Source organism: Homo sapiens, chromosome 1 (assembly GCF_000001405.40).
Source record: "Homo sapiens chromosome 1, GRCh38.p14 Primary Assembly".
Taxonomy (NCBI): domain Eukaryota; kingdom Metazoa; phylum Chordata; class Mammalia; order Primates; family Hominidae; genus Homo; species Homo sapiens.
In genome coordinates this window covers 230215102-230229019 of record NC_000001.11, presented here as the reverse complement: position 1 = coordinate 230229019, position 13918 = coordinate 230215102, and the positions used below count along the sequence as shown (strand labels likewise).

Below are 13918 nucleotides of genomic sequence, written 5' to 3'. Positions count from 1 at the left end.
TTTTACAAATGCTTTTAACAGGTTATAACAGGTTATATATCCTTCATAAATATTGAAGGATTATGTATATCCATGTATATCATGGAGAAAATTACAAAACATAAGTGAAGGACATTAAAAAGTGCCCAGTATTATAGAAATATTAGTTTTCTTCAAACTAATCCATAAATTCAGTGAAGTGTCACGCAGGGTTTTTTCATGGAACTTGAAGAGCTTATTCTTAAATTCATCAGGAAAATCAAATGGTCACAAATATCCACTGGAGTCTTGAAGAACAACACATAGTAGGGCAACATGCCCGAGGAGCCATGAAGCGTTACTGCAGAGTCACAGTGATTAAAGCAGCGTGGTATGGGTGCAGGGTTACACACACAGATGACCAGAACAGAAATGGATGTAGACAAGTTCCATGCTATCCTTCATATATAGATGAAGGAGATCCATAATCTCTTTTTTTTTCTGTGTAGATAATCCATTGTCCCCAGCATGATTTAATAGTTCATTATTTCATCACTGATGAGTAACGCCACTGCTGTCACGCCAAACACTTATTTATGTCTACATCCGTTTCTGTTCTGGTCATCTATGTGTGTAACCCCGCACCTGTACCATGCTGCCTTAATGAATGTGGCTCAGCAGTAACTCTTCATGGCCCCTACTAGGCGAAGATCTTCAAGATGCCAGTGGATATTTGTGACCATTTGCTTTTCCTGATGAATTTAAGAATCAGCTCTTCAAGTTCCATGAAAAAACCCTGCATGACACTGCACTGAATTTATGAGTTAATTTGAAGGAAATTAATATTTCTACAATACTGGATATTTTAAAATATCCTTCAGTTATGTTTTACAATTTTCTCCATGAAAGTCTTGCACATCTTTGGTTGCATTTATTCCTCCATATCTGACAGTTCTGCTTGCTACAGTGAAAGGAGTCTCTTTTCCTATTACATTTTTGAATTGGCCGTTACTGATACCGGTTTTTGTATGTGGACTCTGTATTCAACACCTCACTGTGCTCTCTTATTTGTTCTGATAGTCAGTTTGCAGGTTCTCTTAGATTTTCCACAAATCAATACATCTACATTCTGTCCCTGTCTTTCCATTCGTTACACATCTTGCAATTCTTAAGATGGCAGTGATTATGGCCTGCAACACAATATACAATTTTTAAAAGTGGTAAAAAACAACCTTGCCTTGATCCTATCTTTAAATTGAACACAAGCAGATTTTTATCATTAAGCTTTGTGTTTGCCATAGATGTTTTACAGATGCCTTTCATCAGGTGAAGGAAACTCCCTCACAAGTGCTGAATTTCACTGCTTTCCCTCCTGCATCCATTAATATGACCTACAGCTATTCTCCTTTAATTCACTGAGAAGATATATTACATTATTTTCTGATATTCAATCATTTTTACATTCCTAAAACAAACTCTTCTTGTATATATATATATATGGCTGTATTATATAGCATATATATATATAGCTGTATTATATAGCATATATAGCTGTATTATATAGCATATATAGCTATATTATATAGCATATATATATATAGCTGTATTATATAGCATATATATATATAGCTGTATTAGATTTGCTAGTATTTGGTTTAGGATTTTCTGAGTCTATAACCATAAATTGAACAATTTGCTGTTCTTATACTTTCTTTTTCTGGTTTCATAGCTAGATACTACTGAAGGAAATAGGGTAGCTTTCCTCCTTTTCTATTCTCTGAAACAGTCTGGGTTTTACGCAAACCCATTTGAGCTTTGTGAAATTTTGGGAAGGCAAATTTTTTATTGCTGAAAATTTCTTTTGATGGTTTGCACTTATTCATTTTTTTATTTCTTAAGAGACTTTGGTAACTTAAATATCCCTAGAAAATTATCAATTTCATGTAAGTTTCAAATTTATTTACATAAAAGTATACTTTTAATTTTCTTATGATCTTAGTTATATCTGCTTTTTTACACCTAATATTAATGTTTCTTCTCTATTTTTGTTAATCAGCATTTTTAGAGATTTATATTTTTTAAAGATGAAGCTTTATATATACTCTCCACTGGATTTTTAGTTCATTAATTTCTTCTTTTACCTTCCTTATTTCCTTCCTTCTGCTTTCTTTAGGTTTACACCCTGCAGTTTTTTCCACCTTCTTCAGTCACAGAGTGATTGATTTCAGCTACCCTACATAAGGAAAAATGGTTAAAAATCCAAGCAAATTCTACAGCTGGAGAAACACAGGCAGTTTTCTCAACCATGAGATGGGTGAGTGAAATGGGGAGGGGGAGAAATGTCCGCGGGTGCGATGACTGGCTCCCCTAACTTTGGGAGAGAGTGGCGAGGCCCCTGCCTCTGAGCCAGGTCAAGGCACCTGCCTCCGCATGTGTTCGGAAAGATGGAGCAGCCCAGGGAGCCCTGCAGCCACGTGGACCTTTCCTTCTCCAGCCAACACAGCACCTGAAAGTCTGCGAGTCTCCATGTGCACCCATCAGCCAGGTGAGATGAGCCGAGAGAGCCTGTGGGGGCGTTAAATTAGCCAGCAGGGCCAGAAGTTTGAAAAATCAAAGGAACATATTAAAATACAGTCTGTTGCTTGCTAGCCCATTTCTCCATTCATATACAGATATTCGGTGGCAGGGGGAGGGTGTTAGCACCTCAGGATGCTGGAATCAAGGCTCTGGACACAGCTGGTGATGCAATAGAGGCGGTGAATGCCTTCTGTTTCCTTGCCCTCATCCACAGAAAATGCTTACGCCATTCCCATTTCAAGGGAAAGAAAAGGGCAGGAAGGTCTGTTGTTTCACTGACCATCCTGGCAGCCTGATGCAGCTGCCCATGGACACAGAATGGACACAGAATGTCCATATATGCCTCTGCTGTGAAGGTGGGGCTCCAGCCAGGCTAGAGCCAACCGCAGGCTGGGCGCATGCTCCTCATTCAGGACTCTGATTTGCTTCTGCGGTAAGGGCAGTTGCTTTAAGGCCACAGACTTCTGATTATCACAAAGCTCTGACAGTTTAGTGAGCATAAGACTCATTCATGGAGCTTATGAAAATGAACATGCCTAGGCCCTGACTGCTTCTCCCATCCCATTCTGAATAAGTAGGTCTGGGTGATACCTGGGAATCTGAATTCGAAAAGGCCCCTGAAGGCAAGGCTTATACAGGTTGCTCTTAGACTTCATTTTAAGAAACACACAGAAAAGTGAGAGGTGTTATTAGTGAAACAGTTCTCTAATGTGGAGCCATAATTAGACTCATCTGGATAACTTGAATTTAGACCTGGAACTCTGGTATGGACCATATAGCACAGAGGTTAAAAAAAAAAAAACAAAAAAACTCTGCCTCCTCCAGATTTTGATTTCCCATTCCTCCTCTCTACCACAATCTGACCCCCTGTGGTCACCATACATGAAGTGGCCCAGCCCACGCTGTGTTCCTCAAAGTCTACCATGACTATGAAGCCTAACACAGAGAGAGTCAAGCCTAAGCCACTGGGAATAAGGCCCAACATGACCAGGCTGAAAAGATCTAGCCCAAGCTGGAGACTGGATCCACCACAAGGCAGAAGGGGCCACGGGAAACAGGCCCTCCTCAGTCCAACCCCAAACTGGGCTGCGGATGCATCTCTCAACCTCAGGGCACTTCCACTAGGGCCCATCCCAAACAAGATGTTCAGCTTCACATTTTCAAGATGTGTTGCTATGGTGTCTACAGAAAGTCTAGGCAGGCTACTGGATAGAATGTAAACTGGAAATGGAAGCCAAAAAAAGGAAAATGGAAAAAAGTTCATTAGCTGTTGTATAATGTTCATTTAATTAAAACATACCCTTAATAATCCTCCAAACAGTCATAATGGCATAATATTCCACCAAATCCACTAATTTCTGATTAGTCCTAATAGCTACAGAGTTTATTTCTATAGAGGTCTTTCAAAACTAAACAGAACCAAATCCTAAGACATTAAAAAACCTCTGCAGGACCTCTGTGAAATCAAGCTTCTTAAAAATCTGGTCAACAGGAGATTTGAATTAGCTCAATTAATAACTTTAGGTTTGTCTCACTTCGAAATTATTCGTCTAAAATAGCTTTCTTGAATACCGCAGGCTTCTGCATTCTGCAACGTATAGGAGTCGGAAGCATGTTCTAAAACAAAATGTTTATCCTCCCTGTGACACAGGAAACTCAAGCCTATCGTATTTACTGTACTCCCTTTGAAGTCCTCTAATCTCATTGAAAAGCCAAGGGTTCCAGAGGCAAAAAACATGCACACACACTCAGGCCAAGCGGAGAATCCAAAAACACACTCTTCGCTCACCAAACACTCCACGCTTCGGCACCGGCCACAGAAAATGCTGCCCAGAATACGTGAGTATTCTCCAACAGAAGGGGAAAAACATTAGGTTTCCCCTTGAAGCTTTCAGCAAGCCACTGTTTGATGGAATAAAAATGTTTTTTCATTCAAAGAGCACCATTTGCCCTTTAGTGCCTCCAGTTTTACAGACACTACATTTTAGCTGAAAACTTTTCAAGAGTCAAGAGCTATTGAAAGTTGAGAAAATAACAGCCCTGGATGAAGCCGTCTGAACTCTCTCGTCATGCCCTCCGAGGGCTGCACTTCAGCTGCCAGGTCCCACTCACCATTTAAGGCTAGAGTCATTTCAGAGAGACTAAATTATTATTGTCCTTTAAACTTTCATTCCTCCCGATGCCAGGGGACAAGCTGCCTTTTCTGGATGGAAGCTCACACTGCTCATCAGACAATGTGAACACTGCACATTCCATTTCTTCCCTCTTGCTACTCCCCTGGGACAAGTGGCACCCTTGGTCCTGCTAGAGTAACTCCAGTAACTCCCTCTGCCTCCTGGTGCCCACCATCGTCCTCTTGGATACGTGAGTTCTGGTTTCCAAGCTGAGGGTTTAGTTTTTACTTCCATTGTTCCATGAAGAGATGTGCTTTCATTTTTATCTGCTCTGCCTGTCTCAAAGTGGTGAATCCTTTAGAGCACCCTTCTTAGAGGTTATTCAGGCAGTTGGTTTTCTTTCCTACCCTACTCTTGCAGTTCTCCCCACAAAAGCTGGGCCAGATAATGGAGTCTGTGGGACCCCTGAGCAGTTCTGATTGTCCCAAGTGGACAGGAGAAAAGCTTAAGTTCTGTGGAGGGTGACATTTTAGGACACCACTCTTTTCAGATACACTGAATTGCTCTGTTTTGGCCTGTGGTTAAAAAGACGAACTTTTCGGCTAGGCACAGTGGCTCACGCCTACAATCCCAGCACTTTGGGAGGCCGAGGCAGGAGGATCACCTGAGGTCAGGAGTTCAAGACCAGCCTGGCCAATATGGCGAAACCCTGTCTCTACTAAAAATACAAAAATTTACCCGGTGTGATGGCGGGTGCCTGTAGTCCCAGCTACTCGGGAGGCTGAGGCAGGAGAGAATCGCTTGAACCTGGGAGGCGGAGGCTGCAGTAAGCCGAGATCACACCACTGTACTCCAGCCTGGGTGACAGAGTAAGACTCCATCTCAAAAAAAGTAAATGAATAAAATTAAAAAAAAAATGGCTAAGAGTCTATTAAACTTTAGACCATCAGGTTGGCTTAAAAATCAAAATATATGTGTTACAAAAGATAAACCTAAGACAAAATGGCATCCAAAAAAGAAAAAAAATCAGTAAGATACAAAAATGTATCAAGAGTAAGTGAAATAAAGTAGGAGATTAACATTTATGCAAAGCAAAATGTATGGCAAAAAAGGAAAACTTGTTCAAGGACAGCCTGGGCAACACAGTGAGAGCCCATCTCTATTAAAAAAAAAAAAAAAGAAAAGAAAAACAAATAAAGTGGGGTAATTTTATGTCAATAAGGGTATAATCCATGAATATATATCTTCTAAGCCCCTCATGCTTAGAAATAAGCAGAAACTCCTAGCACTGTAATGTTGAGTTTCAAATGCTTTTATCAATAACAAAGGTTTTGAATGTAATCGATCAGGTTGGTTGAACATGTATATTTGAATTTGGAAATGAGTATAGATGTTACTAGCTTTTAAAAAATACCCATCAAATATTCATAGAAATGAGAAGTAAAGATTGCAGCCTCTGGGGGCAGGCTGTTGTTTAGACCTCACCACAGCCTGGTTAATGGGGCAAGTTCTGTTTCTCTAACTATCAAATCTTAGTAACAATAACAACAGTACCTATGCCTCATAGGGTTGCTGTGAGAATTAAATGAGTAATGTGTGTAAATTGCTTAGCATAGCACCTGGAACGAAAATCTCAATTAAAGGTAGCTACATCTCATGCCCAAAGTAAAACCCTCCATATATGCAAAATAGTAAAATTATAAAGTTGTAATGTCTGACTCCACAGCAATAAAGTCAGGAGAAAAAAATCTCCAATGACCTAAGTTTAAAAAGATAAAAAGAAAAAAAAATCAGTTTCTTACGATTTTGAAACTCTTTCCTAAATAAGCAACGTACCAAAAAAGAAACCAAAAACAGAATTCCAGAGTGGTGAGAAATAATAATAGCGGTCATTTACAAGTAGGTTTAAAAATAACCAAAATTATCACACTATATTTCGTATTATGAGACTCAGCCAAAGCTGCACTCAGAAACCAATTAAGTAGACATAAAGTAAACATTCAACATTCAACTCTCATGGGGCAGGGGGAGTGCAGAGGAAAGCAGAGGCAACAGGCAGACATGAATGCATTAAAGAGAAAAGCAGGGAGGCCGAGGCGGGCGGATCACGAGGTCAGGAGATCGAGACCATTCTGGCTAACATGGTGAAACCCCGTCTCTACTAAAAATACAAAAAATTAGCCGGGCGTGGTGGTGGACGCCTGTAGTCCCAGCTACTCAGGAGGCTGAGACAGGAGAATGGCGTGAACCCGGCAGGCAGAGCTTGCAGTGAGCTGAGATCGCACCACTGCACTCCAGCCTGGGTGACAGAGCAAGACTCTGTCTCAAAAAAAAAAAAAGAGAAAAGCAGTGAAATGTATATAAAATCCCAGCACTTGATGTCAAGGATGAAAAGAAGACAGAAGTAAGGAGGAGAAACCAGAGACACATCACTGGCATTTTTAAAGAAGAAAAAAATGAAAAGTTTATAATTAATAAAGATTTAAGTGCATATACATATAACACTATGCCAATAAATTTGAAAATCCAAGGGAAATTTATTCTTCTGGGAAGATATAAATCAAATTAATTCAAGTAAAGCATAGAAAAACTGAACACATGTCAATATTCATGGAAGAATTTTAAAAGGTTATCAAAGGATTACTGTAATGAAAATAAAAATAGCTCTAAGTTTAGATGACTTTGAAAGGTGAGCTCCAAGAAACAAATAACTCCTTTACAAATCAGTTTTTCTGAAGCATCTAAAGAAATTTAGGAATTTGTTCTAAATTCATTTTACAAAGTTAACATAATCTTGAAGCCAAAGCTAGATGAAGGAAGGAAGACGGGAGAGAGGAGGAAAAGAAGGCAGGCAGGCTGGCTGGCCACAGACACTTTCAGCTATGAATCTTCATTCAAAACCTAAAATAAAGCAGTAGCCAAACTCAGCAATATATTGAGTAAATTCTGGTACATTTTCAGAACCAAATAACACACTGTCATCTCAAATAGCATCTCCTTTTAAATGAGTAAGCAAGGAGGTTATTCGAAAATATTCATCCCAACGTTAGCATTAAAAAGGAAAAGAATCTAGCAGTCCATTACCAGAGAGCTAGCTAAATAAACATAAAATGGGATATATACAGCTTTTATAAGGGAAAGTTATATATTTAACAGTCCTAGAAAATATTTCCTATGTATTACTGAATGAAAAAAAAGTAGGCAGGCAAACAGCAAATACAGTGTCATTTTACTGTCATTGTATTTATAGAAAATGACATACATCGAACATCAGAGGGTATGAGACAAATTAGGAAGGATGTTCACCAGAGACAATGTGAAGCTTTCAGACTTTTCTTCCTGTGTGCAACAAACACGTATCTACTTTTAAAAAGCTTTTTCTTTAAAGAAAAAACCAGTTTTGAGTAATTCGGTGTATTTAAAGAAAGGAGAACTTGGGGAGTTCATGATACAAGCTTGCTAACAGCCCACTGCGTAGACCATTAGTATCTAGGTGAAACACAGACCAATTCAGAGATTTTAGCTAATATTTGGCCAAGATAAGGTTTGCCAACAATAGAAGGCAGATCATTAGCATCACCGTCACATCATACCATGATTTCCTTAGGGCGGGTCTGATTAAGCCCAAGAATGGACCAACCCTAACAAAAGTACCTTCGTTTGATGGCACCACCATGCGCTGGCCTCCAGGGGATGCCTCTTTGCAGACAGGATTCTACAGTCAACTGGGTTAACTGAGTGATTCCATAAAAGCAGCTACCGAGAGAGATCTAGTTCAGCCCACCCAGCACGTGGTGACAGTGAGGGAGTGGCAAAGCCTACCAGGAGCTACGCTGGGTGCTAACCAATCTCAAGGGCAACCTGTGCACCAGAGGCCCTGCAGGATATCAAGCTGAAGACCATCCCGGGAGTTTCAACTCCCTTTATGCCCTGCTCCCCTCATCTACAGCATAGCAACCCAAAAGTAGGCTCTGGTGCCTCCGGAGTGGGCTGTTTATCATGTGGCAGCAGAATCAATGGTATTCTTCTTTATTTACCTAGCGAGGGTCCATAATTCCTAATCTTTGATTCCAACATTAAAAAAAAAAACAAAAACACCTTGGAAAAAAATCTGTATCATATTTGGTGGCAAAGCCTGCCATGATCTGAATTATGTGGCAGTAAAACCTGACCTGATGACTGTTCTCCTGATTTATCCCACTTGGTATGCATATTCATGTTCTGCTGCAAAAACATTAGTGTGTTTGAGTACAAGGTACTGTCTCAAGATTAAAAACATTATTTCACAAATTGTGTATATGTCATTAATAGCTCTCTAGATATTTTTTTAACAATCTGAATTCCCTAAGAATTTAAGTGAGGAATTAGAGAACTGTCTAATTACAGATAGTCTCTGTCCCAAAGCAACTTACGAAATACCTGGAGAAATCATGCACAGCTACAAAACAAGAAAGCCCAGGCACAGAGGCTCTGGTTGGGGGTGGCAAGGTCTCAAGCAAGGGCAGCAATCCCATGGCAGGGGGCCAGTCAGAAGCAGTTCTTTGGAAGAATCTAGGCAAATTGTGTTTTAAGGGACACACCCATTTAGAAAGGTTTAGAAGGGCAGTGGAGAATACCATGAATGAAGACAGCCACAAGCACTTTGCAAAGAATGCCCCCACATCTGGAATGCATCCACGTCAGAAGTCTCAAGAAAGGTAAGTGGGTGGCGGAGGCAGGACCGGCTACTGCAGGCCATCTATGCAGGGCCCAGGAGGGGGATCCAGGTGTCCTCACCATAGGTTAGTTCTTGTGTGGGAGGGGCATGCAGAATACAAGCCTGGGAGAGGTACTGAGAGATCTGAGTAGGCAGGTCCAGTGACTCAGAAGGGAGGACAAGGGACTGGACCAAGAGTGGCAATGAGAGGAAGGGGTTAATTTGAGAGGGATGCCAGAACAGAAAGCCACCAAGGCCACTTGGGCAGCTCATGGTCCCACGCGCCAGTACACGTTGGCCAAGCAGAATTAGGCAACCAGGGCATTGCTTTATTCTAGCCCAGAGCAACATACGGGGAATTTTCCAACTTCAACAGGTGACACTTATATGTGAATATCAAGAACAAGTACCTTGGCCTTTGCACTTAAAGAATTACCAAGAATAAAAAAGATTTGGTTTAAAGGGCCATGGCAAAGATGCCAGAGGAAATTCAATCATCATCATAAAGAAGAGGCAACAGATAACAAACCCAGTGTCCCTTAAGCCAGCGGTCCCCAACCTTTTTGGCACCAAGGAACAGTTTCATGGAAGACAATTTTTCTACAGATGGTGGAGAGGGGAGATGGTTTGGGATGAAACTGTTCCACCTCAGATCATCAGGCATTAGATTCTAATAAGGAGCACACAACCCAGATCCCTTGCATGTGCAGTTCACAATAGGGTTCGTGCTCCTATGAGAATCTAATGCCCATGCTGATCTGACAGGAGGCGGAGCTCAGGCGGTAATGTTTGCTCATCCACTGCTCACGTCCTGCTGCGTGGCCTGGTTCCTAACAGGCCATGTGTCACCACTGGTCCACGGCTTAGGGGTTGGGGACTCCTGCTTTAAGCCTATTTTGGTAACCAGAAATACCTCCACATTTAAAAATACACATTCAGGGATAGATAACAAAGTGATTTTAAAACCATCCATAAACATTGACAATCTCAACTGTGTAACTTCTCCCCAGGCTTGCCTCCTGAATTCCAGATTTTTGTATATCTTCATCCACCTACTGGACAGTTCCACTTGGATGAAAACTTCCCTCCTAATCTTTCCAGCAATGCTTCCTGAATAGCAGCTAGTATTCGTTTAGTACTGACTATGTGCCAGCCACTGTGCTAAGTCACTTACAGGTGTTAACCCATTTAGTCCTCACACGGCAGCCCATAAGATGAGTATTATCATCACCCTTAACTTATATCACGAAGGAGCTAACTGACACGCCAAGATCGTGCAGCTGCTAAAGGGATAACTGGGATTCCAACATGGGAGACCTGGTGCCAGCATCCACACCTTAACCAGGAGGTTGTACTGCTCCCTGCTCAGCAAAGGACAAGTCCATTCTTCAAGTTGCTTGGTTAAGAAACTCAGTGGCATCCTTCAGCCCTCTCTTCTTCACATTCCACATCCGATTCAGCATATCTTGTCATCTCTACCTTCCAAAGGCATCCAGAATCCAACCACCTCTCACCACCTCCATTGTTAGTCCCCTGTTCTTAGCCACTGTCATCTTGGCTGGATCACGGCAACAGGTTTCTCTGCTTCTGGCCTTGTATTTCCCACCCCACCCCCAGTAAACCTGGTCTTATCACAGCAACCTTTTAAAAAACTGACCCTTTAGAGGCCTAATTCAGGTCATGCTGTTCCTCTGCTCCCAAACCTACAATGGCTTCCATCTCACTCAATGGCTGCTACAGTTTGAATGAGTCTCTTCCAAAATTCAGGTGTTGCAACTTAACAGCCAATGTAGTGGTGACAGAACCTTTAAGAGGTGATTAGATAATGAGGGCTTTTCCTTTGTGAAAGGAATGAAGACCCTTTAAAAGGGCTTAATGAAGGGAGTTTGTCCCTTTTTTGCCTTTCTGCCTTCTGCCATGTGAGGATACAGCATTTGTCCCCTCTGGAAGATCCACTGTTCTTGGCGCCATCTTGAAAGCAGAAACCAGATTCTCACCAGACAATGTGAGCCCTGCCAGCTTAAAGATCTTGGACTTCCCAACCTCCATACTATAAGAAGTAAACTTCTGTTCTTTGTAAGTTACCCAGTCTCAGGTATTTTGTTATAGCAGCACAAAACGGACTATGACAGAGACAAAGCCAATGCCCTTACCATGCGCCTCCAGGCTCCTAGGGCTTGGTGCCTTGACTCCTCTCAGACCTCACCTCTTTCTACTCTTCCTCATGGCCACCTGCCTAGCGACTCTGGCTTCCTGCTGTCCTTTAGATAGGCCTGGCACACTACCTCTTTGGGGCCTTTGCCCTTGCCACCTCCCCTGATGAGAACTCTCTTCCCAGTTATTCAAACGCACACTCCCTCGTCCCTTCCCTCAGGTCTTTGCCTAAACACCTTCCTGTCAGTGAGATCTTCCCTGATCACCTGTTTAGTACTAAAACCCTTGACTCTTTCACACTCCTAACCTCCACCGCTTTTTTTTTCTCTTCTGTATTTAACATGCTTTTTAAAAACCACATAATTAATGATTTATTTTATTGTTTTCTCCCCCATCCTCTTAATGTGAGCTCTATGACGGCAGAGTTTTTTTTTAATGTTTTGTTCACAGCTGTTTCCCCAGTGACCAGAAAAACACCTGTCATGTAGTTAGCACTCAAATCTTTGCTAAATAAATGCATAAATCCAAGAATAAAAATAAATCTTCAGTGAATATAAAACTTTAAATCCAAGTACAATATTCCTATTGGGATATTTCCTTTTTTAAATAACTTGAATTTCCAAAGAGGTGTGGATTTTCTCACATTATTGTCAGATGAAGAAAATCATGGCTTATTCAATATAGTTAAGATAGTCGTTACTATAAAAGTCTGAACTTTAAATTTTACAGATGGCAGTGGAGATTATGGGCCCTCATAGGTTCTACCATTAACATTTAACAACTCCAGAGTACAGGCCAGGCATGGTGGCTCATGCCTGTAAACCCAGCACTTTGGGAGGTAAAGGCAAGAGGATCACTTGAGGTCAGGGGTTTGAGGCCAGTGTGGGCAACATAGCAACACCCCATCTCTACTAAACAATTTTTTAAATCAGCTGAGTACAGTGGCGCACACCTGTAGTCTTAGCTACTCAGGGGGATGGCTTGAGCCCAGGAGTTTGTTACGGTGAGCTATGATCACATCTCTGTACTCCAGCTTGGGCAACGGGGTGAGACAACTCCAAAGTATATGTGAATTGTCAGTTACACCAGTGAACAGATCGGTGTTTTGACTTAATAATGAATGTACCATAAACTGACAATGCTGCTTCTTTTAAGTTCATTAGAAACATCACAAGTAATCTCCGAAACCATATTCAAGTGAAATACGTAGCCTAAATGACAAAAAAAGTTAAAATAAATTTTACAGTATTTTGACTGTTTCCTAAAATATACAAAACCCTTCCACTGAAAAAGAAAGTTGTTCTTTCAGTTTCATGGTTCCACGACGGGGGGCAAAGTGATGGGTTTTAAATGGATAGTTGAAGTAGGACAGTTTGTTAGGACTCGAAGATTGATCTCATTTATCAAGCAAAACTCTGTTGACTCCATTTTTCCTGGTCTAATTTCTTTCTGAAATAGGTAGGATCACTGCTTCACAGCTATTTCCACAACTGTTTTTGGTTCTATGATAAAACAATCCAATACCATCTCAGTGTGACAGAGGCATTCACATACTGGAAGCTGAAAGTCTGCCAGCCATGTCACACACATTTTGAGAGCAAAGTGTAACAAAATAACAGTTCATTCTTTACTTAAAGCTGATATATATACAAGCCACTAGTCACTATATTAATGTCCTGAATTTGTGTAATTAATGTATGTAGTTTATGTGTACATCTGAGCCTAATAAAAATGCTGTAAGACAGGCCAGGCAAGCATGATTATTGTTTTACAGATAAGAAACCCAGGGTTTACAGAGATTATTTTAACCTCAGTCTGGGAGCTAACAGCTGGTTGAGCTATTAATAAAAGCAACACATCCCAACTTCAAGCCTGTATTTCCATTTACTCTCCTTCGAGATAGACATTATTGCTCAGGGCAAAATTTATAAACTGCCAAATTCAGAGTGGATTTGAATTCCAAATAAAACACTCAGGTGTTTTTCCTGCTTCCAGTGACAGTAAAGTTCCTTGCTGTAGACCAACCTACTCACTAAAAGCAACCAGAAATTCGGGATGAAATACACTGAAGAATCTATTTGAAGGCACTAGAGAGCTAGCAAAGCAGCCAGGTGTGAGGTCAGGTTTCCAGAAAGGAGAAGCACCTAGAGAGGAAGGCCAACATTCTCTGATCCTCTTCCCCTCAAACGGCATAGAGCCAAACGGCCGACTGAGCCGAGCAGAAGCGATGGTCTTGTAGGTGCAGAGCCAAGTGAAAGCTTCTGGAGGTGCTGTGGAGCTGTGGAGGCCAGAAATGGACTTCAGGGCTTGCTGAGGAAACTGGGCTCTGATACATATCCCAGACTTCCAGGTCGAATCCCACAGGGCTACTTCCTAGTGGCAAAAGAGAACTGGAAACTCACCAGCTCTCTCACAAAAG

General features: G+C 41.3%; 1 protein-coding gene across 3 annotated transcripts in view, besides 2 other annotated features; it reads right to left on the bottom strand.

Moving 5' to 3' along the window:
• GALNT2 (polypeptide N-acetylgalactosaminyltransferase 2) overlaps window positions 1-13918 on the bottom strand; it is a 224334-nt gene that overhangs the window by 53103 nt on the left and 157313 nt on the right. The window lies entirely within an intron of this gene.
• Window positions 1972-2471: an enhancer, noted in NCBI's record as "H3K4me1 hESC enhancer chr1:230362295-230362794 (GRCh37/hg19 assembly coordinates)". NCBI's record gives its function as "activates a minimal SCP1, AML or CMV promoter by ChIP-STARR-seq in primed H9 embryonic stem cells {active_cell/tissue: H9 hESC(primed)}" and the evidence as "EXISTENCE:reporter gene assay evidence [ECO:0000049][PMID:30033119]".
• Window positions 2472-2973: an enhancer, noted in NCBI's record as "H3K4me1 hESC enhancer chr1:230361793-230362294 (GRCh37/hg19 assembly coordinates)". NCBI's record gives its function as "activates a minimal SCP1, AML or CMV promoter by ChIP-STARR-seq in primed H9 embryonic stem cells {active_cell/tissue: H9 hESC(primed)}" and the evidence as "EXISTENCE:reporter gene assay evidence [ECO:0000049][PMID:30033119]".